The 16,204-nt window shown below is 46.2% G+C and overlaps 1 protein-coding gene and 1 long non-coding RNA gene across 4 annotated transcripts in view, besides 3 other annotated features; one reads left to right on the top strand and one right to left on the bottom strand.

The window, feature by feature from the left end:
- Nucleotides 282–1,210: an enhancer, noted in NCBI's record as "H3K4me1 hESC enhancer chr6:167557145-167558073 (GRCh37/hg19 assembly coordinates)". NCBI's record gives its function as "activates a minimal SCP1, AML or CMV promoter by ChIP-STARR-seq in naive H9 embryonic stem cells {active_cell/tissue: H9 hESC(naive)}" and the evidence as "EXISTENCE:reporter gene assay evidence [ECO:0000049][PMID:30033119]".
- Nucleotides 1,211–2,139: an enhancer, noted in NCBI's record as "H3K4me1 hESC enhancer chr6:167556216-167557144 (GRCh37/hg19 assembly coordinates)". NCBI's record gives its function as "activates a minimal SCP1, AML or CMV promoter by ChIP-STARR-seq in naive H9 embryonic stem cells {active_cell/tissue: H9 hESC(naive)}" and the evidence as "EXISTENCE:reporter gene assay evidence [ECO:0000049][PMID:30033119]".
- Nucleotides 3,516–6,558, top strand: LOC112267970 (uncharacterized). Its single transcript, XR_002956379.2, has 2 exons — nucleotides 3,516–3,840; nucleotides 4,332–6,558. It is a non-coding gene; the product is annotated as an uncharacterized LOC112267970 (long non-coding RNA).
- CCR6 (C-C motif chemokine receptor 6) overlaps nucleotides 5,726–16,204 on the bottom strand; it is a 27,347-nt gene continuing 16,868 nt past the window's right edge. For all 3 annotated transcript variants that reach the window (NM_004367.6, NM_001394582.1, NM_031409.4), the window contains 2 exons: nucleotides 8,724–8,829; nucleotides 5,726–8,627 (listed from right to left, as the gene is read on the bottom strand). In NM_004367.6, the coding sequence (NP_004358.2) occupies nucleotides 7,512–8,627; nucleotides 8,724–8,732 (1,125 nt within the window). In that variant the 5' untranslated portion in view covers nucleotides 8,733–8,829 and the 3' untranslated portion in view covers nucleotides 5,726–7,511. The remainder of the gene's footprint in view (nucleotides 8,628–8,723; nucleotides 8,830–16,204) is intronic.
- Nucleotides 15,414–15,603: an enhancer, noted in NCBI's record as "active region_25456". NCBI's record gives its function as "activates an Ori minimal core promoter by ATAC-STARR-seq in GM12878 lymphoblastoid cells {active_cell/tissue: GM12878}" and the evidence as "EXISTENCE:reporter gene assay evidence [ECO:0000049][PMID:35858748]".

Here is a 16,204-nt window from a genome sequence, read left to right as displayed (position 1 = left end):
TTGGGGACACAGGCTATGGAAAGTAAGATGCACAGGACAAATCCATGAACAGGCAGATAGGTGAGTGTATGTGAAGCAAGGAGGCCAAGAAGAGGGTGCAGCATTGGCAGGAGGGTCCACATGTACAACCTTGCAGGGTGAGCCCACCTGATCCACGCCGAGGAGCCAGAGATGAGTGCCAGGTAGAGGCGGCTGTCCCAGGGCAGGGAAGACATGACCTAGGGAAGAAGGGGCACAGCCATGGGGCCGGACTTGCAGCAGGAAGGGAAGAAGATGGAGGAGAGGGGCAATGAGGACTGCACGGGGTCAGGCCTGGCAGGGTCCTTGAGGAAGATCTAGAGTTGAGATGCACATGCTGGTGCCATCGGCCTGTGTGCCGTCCTGAAGTCCAGGGGAGATAGGGTGGCCTGGGGAGAGGATGCAGGGAGAGGAGAAAGAGAAACCCCACCTGGCGTCAGGAGCACCACTGCATGTCAGGGTCAAATAAAGTTGGAGGGGCCAAAGTGAGGCAGAGATGGAGCTGCCCACCTGAGAGGGAGGAGAGCAAAGCCCACTGCCCGGGCCCTGGAGAAGGGCTCGTGCTACCTGCAGGAGGCAGCTGAGAGGCGTCTGCTGCATTGGCTGCATAGGGCACAGGGCAGCCTTCTTGAAGACAGCTTGGTGGGATGGGGGCAGGGGCCAAACTCCAGGGGCTCCAGAGTGAATGGGAGCATTGGAAACAGGCAGAAGACCAGGTGGAGAGAGGGCAGAATACGGAAGTGGGGTTTGGGATTTGCATCCATCTCACTTTCCTCTTTACTATTTGATGGGAACAATCTTCCACTTGACCCACGGCAGGCCCAGGGCAGGGGTGTGGGTGTGCAGCACCGCTAGGGAGTGGAGTTTAGGACAATCAACAGGCACAGCCCAGGCCAGGTCCACCTTTGCTGGGGAGGGTGGCTTCCACCTTTGAAACTGGCGACAAAGGGTTGGGGGAGAGCCAATGCCCTGGGCCCTGGAACTGGCCACAGAAGATGGCAGAGCCCCTGCAACACCACATCTCCTGAGCAAAGCTTCCACCAAGGCTGATGGGCACACGTGAGTGGGGAGGAAGGAGGGCGGGTGGAAGGACCTCAGCCAGAGCCATGGAGAGTCAGGCCTGGGGACAGCTCAGAACGATGGCCCATGCCTCGGATGAGTAAATCATGAAACAAAATTCAATGTAGGTTGACTCAAACCCAACAGAAGTTCATTTCTTGCTCACACAGTAGCACCAGGCACATGGAGGGTCAGTGTATTCAGGTTCTGCTGTTTCCAGCAGCTGTTTCCAAGGTCTCCTGTGCCTGCTCCCTCCGGCCTTCAGGAGAAAGCGAGTGGTTTTGTGCACCAGACCTGGAAATGATGCGTTTCACCTGTGTTCAGGCATCTCCAGCCAGACCTCAGTCCCATGCCCCACAGAGTCCCCAGGGGCTGCACAAGGTGGCTCAGCCATGGACCCAGGAGGCAAGGGTGGTGGGCAGCTGCCCACACCACAGAATAGATGCTCTGTAGCTGGTTAGAGTGAGCGGCGAGCAGAGCAAACAGCTAACGGGAGAGATCTCAGAGCACGAGCTCTCCCCTGGTTGCACCCCCAGCCCCGCCGCCAGCCACGTTGTCTCTATCACATTCCCTGGAGAAAAGTAAGTAAGGAGGCCCAGAAGGCTGAAGGACAGGGCCAGGGGGCTGGTTCTCAGAGGGCACCCCTGGCCACGGCCTCTCATGCATCCGTGTGAGATGGTGTCAAGTCAGGTCTGCAGAGGACTAGAGGGACAGGGGTCCTGAGAAGGCTTTTCCTAAGGAGAGGCTGCCTCCAGGCAGCACCACCTCTCCTGCCCCACCTGGACACCTGGGGGCCCAAAGGCAGCAAGGACCACCATGAAAGCCAGCTCGCCCAGGGTCACACACACTCCTCTGCCATCCTAGTGCACAATCAGATGTGCCGTGATTCACAAAGGTGGAAAAGGGAGGTTGCCTGGAATGTTTATTTACCTTTCTCCTTAATTTTGGACTTGCATAATGAATTCTTGGTGAGTAGAGATTACATCATTTTACATATCTTCTTTTTATTAACTTAATATCCTAAAAGTCATTCTACATTATCTGCCATAAAAATATATAGATGCTGTATTTCCTGATTTATACATATATTTATTCTGCTATGTATATGTTCACATAGCAAAAAAATAAAATAAAATAAAAAGGAAAGAGCCAATCTACTATTGTGAATGTTAAAAGCAACAAGGAGAAAAATGAACAGCAGCAATAGTGCAGTGATATTTTTCTGAAGATTTTACGCCACGGGTGCAAGAAGATAGTATAAGATTGTATTAATTTCACATACTTATTATCCAAAATAAACTGTAGAGTTTCCCCGCTAAGACATACATGTGACATTTGTCCTTTGACACGTTGCAGAATTAGGGCAACAGCCGGGAAGGTGAGCGTCTCCAGGAGCAGGTGCAGGCGCTGGGAGGCGGCTCGCGCACCAGAGGGCAGCAGCGCCCTGTCCAGGGCAGAGGCACCCCTGGAAGGCTCAGGAGCTCGGCTCCTGGTGAAGCCAGGACTTTAGGAATCGCATTTGCTCCCCACTGGCGTGAAGAGAAGTGCTAGCTCATCTATTTACATTCTAGGTTCAGAAAGGGGACCCCAAAATGTTATGTGACATCCAAGAATCCAGTTCATCTTTCAATGTTAGGCAGAAAAATGAAACCTTATTCAAATGTTAACACTAATTCTAAATACAGTATTCTGAACATTTAGATGGACCGGCTGTGGGCACTGTGGTAATTATTAGTGGGCTACAGGAGAAGAGGCCCCTGTGTACAGGGCGCATCCCAGGTGACCCTAGACTTGCTGCACAGGGCCAGCCATATCTCCTGAGTGGCCTTGGCCTAGTGGGCTGCCTCGGCTACCGCTTACCTACAGCTGGGGAGATGCAGACCCTCCCCTCTGGTTAAAGAGAGGAGTCCGGCTGCCTCCCCTCCATGAAAGTGGTTTTCTCAGTATCTCTCCCCCTTCTTACATGGTGTGTTTGTGATTACTGCGTGCACATGGACACACGGCCACCCGCTGAAGAGCATCCCAGACTTTCTTTCACCTGGCTGTAACCATGTGACTAAGTGAAGGCTCCCACCTTGGGAGCAGAAATGATTTCCACAGCTTTCCAGTTGTGTCTTTAAGGCCACCTGCTTCCCGCATCCTGCTTCTTGTTGTCTAGAATGGAAATGGGCTGGAAGGAGGTACAACAGCTCCCTTGTGCTGAGGACAGCCTCGAGGTGAGGAGAACAGCACTCTGCCCATCATTCCTGACTGTCCACCTGGACTCTCAATGAAGAGAGGAATCAGCCAAGAAGTAGAAAATAAATCGTTCCTGCCTTAGCTCTTATATGGATTTACCTAAATAAGGCATCAGGAATATCATGCTATTGGCAAATGCAACACAAGGAAGAAGATTGCAGCTGTGCATACTGAGTCATAAGCATGAAATCAGGTCACAGCAAACCACCCTGAGCTCTGCAAACACACCAGAGCGAGGGGCCTTCGTCCGAATGCTGCAGCCTCTTTATTCTGTGAGATCACAAAGACTGAGTGCATCAGATTCTCAGAGCAGCCAGCGGAATGTAGAATGCAGACCACCCCAAGCTCTGCAAACATGCCAGAGCGAGGGTGGCCTTCATCCGAATGCTGCAGCCTCTTTATTCCGTGAAATCCCTGAGCACAAAGACCATGAACATGTCAGGTTCTCCACACAGCAGCCAGCAGAATGTAGAATGCATCAGGGCAGCTGTGCTGTGAGGCTGCAATGACTCAAATCATCTAATGGTAAATGTAAAATGCCACCTCCTTCTGTGTCCTACAGGAGAATGTGCCCCAAGAATGAGATTAAGACAACAGAGAGCCCCGCTGAAGTCATGAGCCTTGAATGCTCTGTTTATACAAATAGGGGGCAGAATAGGGCCTGGCCTCCCCTGGGCTATCACAGCTGCTTTCTGCTGCCACAGCTGAGATCACCATCCCTAGGTCCACAGCTGAGAGGGGGATGTCTCTGCTTTGAATATGGAGGCCACTCAGACTTGGGGAAATTCCCCACTTCCCTGTCAGAGAACTGGGAAGGGAGGAGATGCCACACCTCAGGGCAGAGGTCAGGGCAGTAGGTGAACCACTGGGATCAGATACTGAAACTTGCACCACGGGTGGGTGCTGGAGCTCAAGGCTGTGCACGGGTGGGTGCTGGAGCTCAAGGCTGTGCAGGTTAGATAGGCAGGCGTTGTCTCACTGGGGACCACAACCCTTCTCTGTCATCTCTCTGTGAGGTCTGCACCTGAAAAGCCGAAATGGGAATGAATGTTTGGAACATAACTTATTGGAAAGGCGGAAAGTATGTACAAAGAAATTCTCACATGTTTCAGGTTAACTTTAATAGGAAAATATGCCCCACCTTCAGGGAAATAGATGTTAGGGGCTGGATGGTGTCCCCTTAAAATTCATATGTCAAAGTCCCAACCCTCAGTATCTCAGAAAGTTGTGATATTTAGAGACTGGGATTTTAAACCGGTGATTAAGTTAAAAGGGCCTTTTCGGTGGGCTGTAATCCAATCTGACTAGTGTCCTTATAAGAAGCGTCAGCTCACAGAGGAAAAGCCATTTGAGGCCTCAGGAGAAACCAACCCTGCCAACACCTTAACCAGCCTCTAAAAATGTGAGAAATAAATGTGTTGTTTAAGCCACTCAGTCTGTAGTATTTTGTTAGGGCAGCCCCAGCAAACTAATGTCCTAGCAGACTATAGCATGTACACTGCGTTCATTGAGACCACATTCTCTGTACACATATCTCCAGAATGCCTGTAATTTGCACACATCACCACAAGTCTTAAAAGGATTTGAAAATATTGTGTTTTTCTGGCCTCATTTAAAATCCAGTCTGTCTGTCCTGAGAAGCAAATCACGTACAGTTTGCAAGGTAATACTTAAGTACCTAAATGTTGAGATTTACATACAGTAAGATCTCACGTATCCAGAAATAATTGAATACTTGGAGGTTCTAACACATTGCCCCTATTAATAGACAATTCTGACAAGCGCAGATAGCTGATGTCCCCACCAAACATATAGAATAATGTTTGCAATGAGTGGAGAGGAGGACTAACGGCAGACACAGTTAAGGCTCAGGAAGAGACGGCCAGAGCCTGAGAGCAAAAAGATATGGGGAGAATCAATGGGAACCACTGAAGAACAGCCCCTTCTATCTTAATGTCTCCTGAGAGTGTCAGGTTACCATGGCACCTGTTTTGATGCCCAAGACAGCAAGAAAAATGATGTAACCTAATGTACTACATTTAAGAAGAAATAAAGTATGTGGTATATTTTGGAAACATTTTTATACATCTTAGCTAAAATGTTTAAAAGGTTATTGCTTAAATAAGTCAGCTTCATTTATCTGAACATTTAAATTATGCAGAGAAGCTCATCTCCCAGCTTTGGCAAATAAGCAAGATGTTTCTGTGCTAGTTTTCAAGCATGAATCATCTTCATAGATCACATCAGCGCATTGATCACACCAAAAGAAGTGTCTGGGTAACCACTCCTTTGCTTTGATTTCTAGAGTCAAACGCTAACAGATTTGAAGGACATGAGAAAGCCTGAATACCATCCTCTCCAAACAGTGGGCCCCTCAATCTGAACCTTGAAGCTGAAATACGATTCCTACTTCATGTACAAAACACATTTTTTATTTTGCAAAGCCAAAGCCATGCTTTAAAAATACAGACTTTGAATCTTAAGACATTATTTTGCATTTTAAAGAGAGATATAGTTAAAGCTTACAAGAACAATATAAAGTTTCAAATAACACCATTGTCAGGTTTAAACATGTTGGTATGTTTACATGACAGTTCTTTCCTTTTTTTTTTTTTTTTTTTTTGAGATGGAGTCTCGCTTTGTCACCCAGGCTGGAGTGCAATGGCACGATCTCGGCTCACTGCAACCTCTGCCTCCTGGGTTCAAGCGATTCTCTTGCCTCAGCCTCCCAAGTAGCTGGGATTACAGGCACCCGCCACCACGCCTGGCAAATTTTTGTATTTTTAGTAGAGAGGGGTTTCGCCATGTTGGCCAGGCTGGTCTCAAACTCCTGACCTCAAGTGATCCACCCATCTTAGCTTCCCAAAATGCTGGGATTACAGGTGTGAGCCACCATGCCTAGCCCATGACAGTACCTTCCTAACATGTGTTTGTATTTTTGTAACACAAGTTGCTATTTTTCTAATGTTCATATATTTACATAGCCCTTTAAAAACATGAGTTCCATGAACTTTCTATGTCATTGAAGAGAGCTGTTAAAATCTGATTCCATCACAAATTTCAGACCCCTTTAAAATAATTATCAGAAGCCAGCATAATTCCAGCTGTCCCCTAGCTAATCTGCAGCTCCTCATAACAAAAGTCTTCAGCCACACATTGCTCTTCAACCACATTAAAGAAACGGAACAAAACTTCTTTCTACATTGTCTCAGTAAAGTTGCTTTCTTTAAAAAAAAAAAAAAAGTATTCCATTTATTTAAAAAATTAAAAACATCTAACATTTTAAACTGTACAATAAACCCCAACTTCATTACGATTCATTAATCAAATCTCTCTTGAGTCCATTTTGTTTGCTGGAACTCCGCTAGGCACTCAGAGCACAGCTGTGAGCAAGATTATTCTAGATCCTGTCTTCATAGCACTCTCAGCTTAATGGACGTTTAGACAAGAGACACTCACGACAGAGAACAGCTCCCAGGGAAATCAAAGCAAACCGACAGTTTCCTAATGGCCCACTACAACCTGAGCTGCTTTATCCAATTGGTGACAATTGTCACCAACACCTGTTCTGCCATTGTCCCCTTCTTCCCGAAGCACTTCCAGGTTGTGAACACTTGAGCTTGTCTTTCCACCTCCATTTTACAGGGTCAGGCTTGTTGACTGTATCAAAGGGAAATGAGAGGAAACACTAGCCGGCCAATCCTGCTGCTTATAACCAGCAACAATAAACATTCTGATAGATAAAAATGTTTAAACATTTGCCTAAAATGAGTGATGTGTTGGCTTCCATTTTTTTTTCTGTTTTAGTTTTTCAAACCACTGCCATCATTTTGTGCTGTAACCAAAAGACACTGTGATCTGTGACCGCTTCATGAATATTTCTGAAAATGTTTACATTTGTCAACAATTCACTTTAATTCAGCATTTCCCAAAGGCTGTTTTGTGAAATGCCAGGCGGATATATACCCTAGAGCTACAAAACATTCCTTGCAAAGTGCTGGAAAATGCTACCTATCAGAGACCACCCCACCCTGAAGAGATCACACAGCCCATGAGCACGTTAAGTCCCGCAGGAGAGAGGCTTGCTTGATTTTGCTTAATTCCCACATTTTCCATGCATACCTGGCCATAGACTTTTTTTTGCATAACATCTATGAGTATGTTTCACACATGCCTTAGGGAGACTCAGCTTTCTATCACATAGTGAAGGACGACGCATTGTCGTTATCTGCGGTCTCACTGGTCTGCCGAGAAATGTTTTCTGAGTACCTCCCGGCACAGGAGAAGCCTGAGGACTTGTACTTCCTTCTCACACACCACAGGTCCTTCAAGATCTTCAGAAAGTAGTTTCTGAACTTCTGCCCAATAAAAGCGTAGAGCACAGGGTTCAGGCAGCAGTGCAGGAAAGCCAGGACTTCTGTGACAGTTTTCGTATAGCCAATTAGCTTTTCGCTCTGGCAGGATCGGTTCATTTTACCCAAATTTGCAGCCGTCACAAGCAGGACCATGTTATGAGGAATCTGACAAGCCAGAAACACAAGCACCACAGCTATGATTACACGGATGGCTTTGTGCCTTTTAGAATTCTGAGCTTGCACCAAGGTTTTGACAATGAACGTGTAACAAAATATCATGAACATCAAAGGGATAAAGAAACCAAAGAGTAGCTCAAGCCCCAACATCAGCAGCTTCCACCTGATGGGCTCCGAGACAGTCTGGTACTTGGGTTCACAGACATCGCTGCCTTGGGTGTTGTATTTTTGGTTGAAGACAAAAGTTGAGCTGGAGATGATGACTGACAGCCCCCACACAACAAGGCAGATGATTTTGCTGCGCGGTAGTGTTCTGGATCGGAGCCGGAATGACTTAGTCGCCTGTACAATGGCGATGTACCGGTCCATGCTAATGCAAGTCAGGAGCAGCATCCCGCAGTTAAAGTTGATGGCATAGATGCCTTTTAGCAACTTGCACGTGGCATTGCTGAAAACCCACGCACCGGTGGCATGACTCACTGCCCAGAATGGGAGAGTAAGAACAAAGAGGATGTCTGCAATGGCCATGTTCAAGAGATAGACGTCTGTCATAGACCTGGCCTTCTTATAAAAAGCAAAGGTGATCACCACCAGAATATTCCCCAGGAGGCCAAAGACACAGATCAAGGAGTAGGCAATCGGTACAAATAGCCTGGAGAACTGCCTGACCTCCTGCAAGGAGCACAGTAACATCTCAGAATCAACTGAGTAATATGAAGTATTGACTGACACAAAATAATCTTCACTGGAGTCGAAAACATCGCTGAAATTCATTGATTCCTGGAAAGGAAACAAAGATAGAGTTAGCTGCAGTGTAGTGTTCAAGTAGCCACAGTGAACCCAAATTATACCCCTTGCCAAAAATAAAAATCTTACCCCGCTCATTGTGGGCAGAAAAAATGCAAGCTGGTTGTAGAAAAAGGAGTGTATGGTTCAGCCCCTTCAGCTCACAGGCAGCGGTAGCAGGAAAGTAGAGGTGACTCTAAGAAGGAAAGAAGGCAAAATGCACTACAGTTAACACAGGTATTCCTGGAGAGCCAGACAGTTAAGTTACCAGCATTCCATCTCGTGTGAACAGAGTGCACAGCACACTATTTTACATACAAATATTCATTGAGAATAGGCATCAGCAACCTCTTTCTGTAAAGGGCCAGATAGTAAATATTTTAGGGCTTTTCAGGCCATATGGTCTCTGTCACAGCTCCTCAAATCTGCCTTTGGAGCTTGAAAGCATCTACAATTACATAACTGAACAGGCCTCGCCGGGGTCCGTTGGCTAGAGGCTATAATTTGCCAACCCTTGATCTATTGGTTAAATAAGGTGCTCTCAGAAATCCACAAGTTTTGATCTGCACAAAAATCTTTACGCAAAATTTAAAAACATTCAACAAGATTTTACTGAACAAAATCTATAGAAGTGTGAAAGCGCATAGAAAATGTATAATTCATAGTCCCGGGCTTTAAATCGTTCACAATATATGTCAGTGATGATCACCCCTGTGGGCATGTGAGAATCTCCAGTAGAATTTAAAGTTTGACTATGAGTGCTGTTCTCAAGACACACTGAACAAGCTGCTCCAGCCTGGGAAGGCGCTGGAGAGGAATGCACCTGCTTCTCCACAGCCGCAGACCTTTCCAGTAGACATTCCAGGTCACAAGCATGAATCTGCTGTGGCAGAGGCATCCTAATCATCAGAAATCCAAATGCCAGAGGAAAGGTGGAGGCTGGCACAGTTAGGAAAGACTTCCTGGAGGAGGAGGCTCTGATCAGGGTTCTTGGAGAATGGTGAGGCTATGGGCCAATGATTGACAGAGAACCGCCATCTCCTTCAGGTGACCAGCTCGTCTCAGGCTGAAGAGCAGTCCTGAGTCATGAGCCCTGTATGTTTGTGAAACAGCTGAGCAACCAGCCTGGCCGAATCAACTGGATTGTCAGGAAACAATGGAGTATACCGTGTGCTGGGAACGCCAGCAGTGGCGGTGCATGGGTCCAGGCTGAAGAAGTTTAGCAGGAGACCGGGAAGAGCTGGAGCGGTTGTGGAGCGCCTGAGGACGAAGGGCTTTGAAATCCACCATCTGAAGCAAACTTAAAAAGAAAGAAAAACCCTTCGCTATTCTCAGGCTCACTCCTTCTTTCCAGCATTGTCCATCATCCTGTTTATTAACACGCCCTGGACGTCCCCCAGTAAAATCCATGGCCTGAAACGCTCTGATATTGACGTTGGATGTGCTTCCCAGCCAATCGCCCATCTTCCTCCTCTTTTCCCTGCTCTCGCACCACGTGGGCCTGGCCATGCCAAGCGGGAGCAGCTAGGGAAGTGCAGCCCCAGGTGCACAGGCAGAGAAAGTGGAACTGCCCTCCTCGCCCCCACACTGTGTCATATCAGTCCTCACTTACGAGTCCACGTGGATACTGACCTTTTGGAGAGGAAGCCCATGTAACACAAAGTTCACCCTGAATTATTTTCCAAACCTATTTCTTACATAATTTTGATTCTCATTTCATTATTTACTCCACCCCATTCCTTCCCTGATGCCTGGAGTCACAACTTAGAGATCGGTTCTTCACTGCCCCTCAGTCACTGCTTTGGGCCTAAAAAGCTGGAGGAAGGTATGGAGTCACCTCTGCACTTTTGTAATCCCAGCAGGTATACAGTTGAGTGCTTTAGAGTATGCAGAAGAAGCGTGGTATAGACCCCTGTGTTGCAAAAGCATGTGACGAGGTAATCGTATCAATCAGAAGAAGCACAGCAATCAGAACACCACTGCTAAACTTCAGCTTCCAGCCACGGTGGATCAACAGAGACCAAAGGCACCCTGCTGCATTAAACAACTAGAAAAACCTACAAAATGTAACAACCATTTTCAGACCTCGGCACTAGGCATCACAGGATTATGGATCCTGGCAGGAGGAGAACAAATACAGTGAGAAATGATACACACTCTTTCTAAGCTGCAGAGCATGGCAGGGGTGGAGGGCATGGGAGGTGAAATATACAATATGTAAAATAAAATACACCAATTGGAATTACCATTTGGATGTTAAAACTATATATATATATATATATATATATATATATATATATACACACATATATCATATATAATAGTATCAATAATTATATATACAATTGTATCATAAAATGTAAAATACTTATGGATAGCTCTAACAAAATTTATGTGAGATTTATATGCTAAAAACTACAAAACATTGTTGGCAAAAATTAAATAAGACCTAAATTAATGGAGAAATTTATCATGTTCAATTTTCAATGACATTTCATGTTCAAATTTATCAAAGATTCAATTTCAAGATATAATTTCTCCCCAAATCGATCTGTAGATACAACATAAACTAAATCAAAATTATGGTAGGGTTTTTTTTTTGAGAAATTGACAAGTCAATTCCAAAATTTTTATAGAAATTCAAGGAAATTAAAATAGCCAAAACAATTTTGAAAAAGATAAAAAAAAAATGGAGGACTCACACTACCCAGTCTCAGAGCTGACAAGGAACTACACTAACCATGACGGTGTTGGATTTCTGAAAGGACAGTTACATAAATCACTGGAACAGAACAGAGGCCAGACATAGATCCACATATAGATGGCGGACTGATTTTTAACTTAGGTGCCAAGGTAACTCAATGGGAAAAGAACAGTCTTCAGTAAATGGTCCTGGAATGACATGAACAAAAAGTCGATCCTTACTGCTTACCTCACACCATTTGCAAAAGGTAACTCAAATGAGTTATAAATCTAAATGTGAGAGCTAAAGCATAAAACATCTAGAAGGAAAAATGGGAGAAAATCTTTGTGACCCTGGAAAAAGAAGCTTCTTATATAAATTGCAAAAAGAATGAACTGTAAAAAAATTGATAAATTGTACTTGATTGTACAAAATGTAAAACTTCTGCTCTTTGAAAGACACTCAAGAAAGTGAAACATATATATATTGAATAGAAAAAAGTATGTTAAAGCTTATATCTGATAATAGGTTATATCCAGAATATACAAATAATTTTTACAACTCCCTATCAAAAACATAAACAATAAGAAACAGGGGGAAATGTGAACAGGCAATTCACCAAGGAAAATACATGGATGGCAAATACACACACAAAAAAGACGCTCAATGCCATTAATCATGAGGAAAATGCAAATTAAAACCACAATGAAGGCTGGGAACAGTGGCTCAGGCCTGTAATCCCAGCAATTTGGGAGGCCGAGGCAGACGGACCACTTAAGTCCAGGAGTTCGAGACCATCCTGGCCAACATGGTGAAACCCCATCTTTACTAAAAATACAAAAATTAGCCAGGCGTGATGGCGTGCTCCTGTAATCCCAGCTACTTGGGGGGCTGAGGCAGGAGAATCAGTTGAACCCGGGAGGCGGAGGTTGCAATGAGCTGAGATTACGCCACTGCAGTCCAGCCTGGGTGACAGAGAGAGACTCCGTCCAAAACACACACACACATACACACACACACACAGACACACACACAGAGATCCCACTGGAAGGACTAAGATTAAACAGGGGGCTGGAAGCTGGGAGAGGACATGGTGCATCTGGGGCTCTCACACTTTGTTGGTGGGACTGCAAGATCACACAGCCACTCCAAGGAGACAGTGGGGTCCTTTCTTGCACAGCTGAACATGCATCCACCATGGGAACCTGCAACCGACTCCTACATGTCTACCCAAGAGACATGGGAGGATTAACACTGGAACATTCCCAGCAGGTTTATTCTTAACCGTCCCAAACTGAAAAAGACCCAAATGTCTGTGAACTGGTGAGCAGATACCCGAGTTGAAGTGTATCCATGCAACAGCATATACTACTCAACCATGAAAAGGAACGGGCGACTAATGCATGCTCCAACGGGGGTGACTCAAAACCTTCGCTCGGTAAGAAATCCAGGCAGAAGAGACCATGCACTGCACCATTCCACCCCTAACATTTCTAGAAAAGGCAAAATAACAGTGGCAGGAATGAAATCAGGGATTGTCATCAGGACGGGAAGAAGGGATTGGCTGGGGTTGGGCGACACAAGGGGCTTTTGTGGTGGCAGAAATGTCCTCTATCCTGATTGTGGGGGTGGCACATGGCTGGGTGCCCTTGTCAAGACCTGTTGAATTGTACCCTTCAATCGGTGACATTTATTGCATATAAATTAGCCTCAATAAAGTTAATTTAAAAGTACCTGCGTACTCTTCCGCGCAAATGTGTTGGAACAGACACTTAGTGCCATAAACAGTCACAGCAAGGATCTGCCGCTGAGCACTGAGGGGTAATGGGAGGTTCTGGGGCAAGAAGAGCTTTTGAGGACTCCATAAGGACAGAGGCGGGGACGGTGGGAAGGAGTGGGCAGTGTGGGTGGAAGGCAGGGGCTTGGGGACAGCGAGGGGGAGGCCTGCAGCAGGGGCGCGGCTCTGGAGAACAAGGGAGCAGGGGCTGTGGGGAGCGGTCGCTGCAGGGTTGGACGGATGCTAGGCCAAGGTGGGGCCAGCGGCACGGGTTCCCAGGTGAGTGGGGCTGGGACCGGATGGGAGGGAGTGACCTCCCCATCACGTGGAGGCTGAGTTGATGACGATGGGAAGAGCAGCGGGGGCCAAAAAGGGAGGGACGGCCCGGCACGCCGTGCACTCGATGCCCAACGGGCCCCCATTTAAGGTAAGCATTTGTTTAACTGCACCGTGACACACAGTATTTTCTGAATTTAAGTTGAACTCAGTTCAACAAATGTTTATGAACTGTCTACGGAGGAGAGGCACTGAAGTGCAGCGATGACTCAACGCGTACTTGAGCTTCAAAAGGCTGCCAGGTAAACAAGTAATTATATAACGGTTCCATGCTAGCAGTCATCACGAGATGCACCCCAGAAAGTGAGTAACTCTTGGTGAACAGAAGGCCAGCACTGGGGCGCCTGTGTGATGGATCCCTGTCGGCAGAAGGAGTTGGGAGGGGGCCCAGAGAGAAGGGGTCCAGAGGGATGGGGGTCCCAGAAGGAGGGGTCCCAAAGGGAGGGGGTCCAGAGGGAGGGTGGTCCCAGAGGGAGGAGTCCCGGAGGGAGGGGGGCCCAGAGGGTGGGGTCCCTGAGAGAAGGAGGCCCAGAGGGAACCAGATACACAGGCCACAGGGCAGGAAGTTCCCGGCAGAGCTATGAGAAGCTGGCCTACTCCGTCCTGTTCATAAGACACTACTTTAATTTCCTTTCATTTATTCTCATGTCAGAATAAGTCAATGAACCAAAATTGATAAATTCCATGTCTCTTAGGATGGTGTTTTGCACGTGTTAGGTATAAACAATGTACAATTCTAGATAATGACAAATTTAATGTCACTGTGGTTAAGAATCAGGATTCTCCATAAAAACGGTGGTTGTCAGGTTCACCTGTATGCCAGCCACAGTCATTGAAAATGATTCGGCCTTCCCCAAGCCACTGTTTTCACAGGAAAAACTGTGTGAATTGTTTTAAGGAAACTGTTTTGGTGACAGATTGGCGTGGGTATCACCTCAACGTGTAAAGAATCCTGTTCACAACTTGCTCTATCATCTCAGATCTCAGGCAGCAGTCACCAGCTCCTTGGAGAAACAGGCTGCAGATTTTCTATTAAGAAAATGTTGATGTGAAGACACTAAGAAGTTTTTTAGTAGATATTTCTGTTCCTTCTTTAATGAACTGAGAATAAGACACCCTGTTATCTACGAGTGGCAGATGAGAGATGCAGGGAAATGTGCTGAGCCCTGTGTCCAGTTCTTGGTGAACCAGTGAACCTACCCTTGCAAAGCAGCCACCTGCAACACATCTCACACTGTCTCTTTGAGGTTCAGCACTTCCTATCTCACACGTGGTCCCTATGACCACCATTCTCACCAGATCTCACTTTGATGTCATTAAATCACATGTAAAATACATTCAGCTCAACTGATTCTTAAAGTGTAATTTTCTTGTCTTTGGAATTTAGATATTTCCCAAACAAGTGGGCAGAGGAATACTTCTAGAGCTTCTGTAGGACACACTGTTCTTTGGAGGAGGAGTTTCAGGGGCTCTAAGAAAAAGTCATCTAATGACACACTTTAGAAATGTCATTTGACTCAATTCGGTTTTGCAGTTAAGAGGCTTCTTTTCCAATATTCAGCTGCCTCAAGTAAAGTGTCGATTGTTGCTGTCTCAGTAACTCATTGTCACCCCCCACCTGAATGTTAGCCTCTCACAGGACCCGGGGTACCCTGTAGGGCGGGCACACTATGGCATGACACCAAATGAGAGACTCATCATGTCTCATCCCCTGAGTATCTCCTTCACCAGGAAGGCATATCTCATTGACTGAGCTTTATCACATGTTCTGAAGACAAGAGAAAGCAGAATTTCTTGATTCCTGTTTGGCACCTCTCTACTCTTTTTTAAAAAAAGCATTTCAAAAATATTCAGGGAATGTTGCAGTGAATTTGCCTGACTCCAGCGAATGGTGCCTGTGAAGTCCAGGAGCATAGAGCTGGTGTAAGGAAGCTCAAAACCCATTTGCAGAGAGAAAGAAGATAATGCCTCCGAATGAGGTAAAATGTTGGCTGTTGGTTCTCAGCAGGGTGTTGAGGGCATTATGAAGCAAGTGCAGGAGCGTCTGGAACGGAAGTGGTGGGCCCTTGGGGGTCAGCGTGGGTTTGGTAACACTCAGTCATGTCACACTGATTTCCAAGCCTTGGTGGTAACAGTCAATAAACTGCAGATCAGGGAGGTGTTACAGACATTGAACACTTACGATAAAATCTGAAACTTATAAGCAATCAAGAAGAGGAACCATGATCCAGGTGCAAGTACAATTAGGTGGCTTGCTAGGTGTCTGGACAATTGGCTCTGTGACACCACTTTGCTGGCAGGCTGGCACAAGGCCCTATGGACACTGCACTGATTTCGGCCTTCAGCTGTGTCCTGCCCATTGCTTCTATTGATGAGAGGGGCAAAAAGAGAGGAGGCAAGTTCATTAGATCTGAAGATGTCAAGAAGCCTAAAAAGATAATTAATATATTGGATGACAGAATCAATGTACAAATATTCTGGACAGAATCAAGCAATGGGTAAATCTAATGTTGTAAAATTCAGTAGGGAAAATAGAAGCTTCTCCACATAGCTTTAAATAAGCAGGCCGCGTGCATTGGCTCACACCTGTAATCCCAGCACTTTGGGAGGCCAAGGCAGGCGGATCACTTGAGGTCAGGAGTTTGAGACCAGCATGGCCAACATGGTGAAACCTTGTCTCTACCAAAAATATAAAAAAATTAGCTGGGTGTGGTGGCACACATCTGTAATCCCAGCTACTCAAGAGGCTGAAGCAAGAGAATCACTTGAACCTGG

This window comes from Homo sapiens, chromosome 6 (assembly GCF_000001405.40).
Source record: "Homo sapiens chromosome 6, GRCh38.p14 Primary Assembly".
In the NCBI taxonomy this organism is placed as follows: domain Eukaryota; kingdom Metazoa; phylum Chordata; class Mammalia; order Primates; family Hominidae; genus Homo; species Homo sapiens.
The sequence above is the reverse complement of the archived record's forward strand: the minus strand, read 5'-3'. Positions and strand labels throughout refer to the sequence as shown.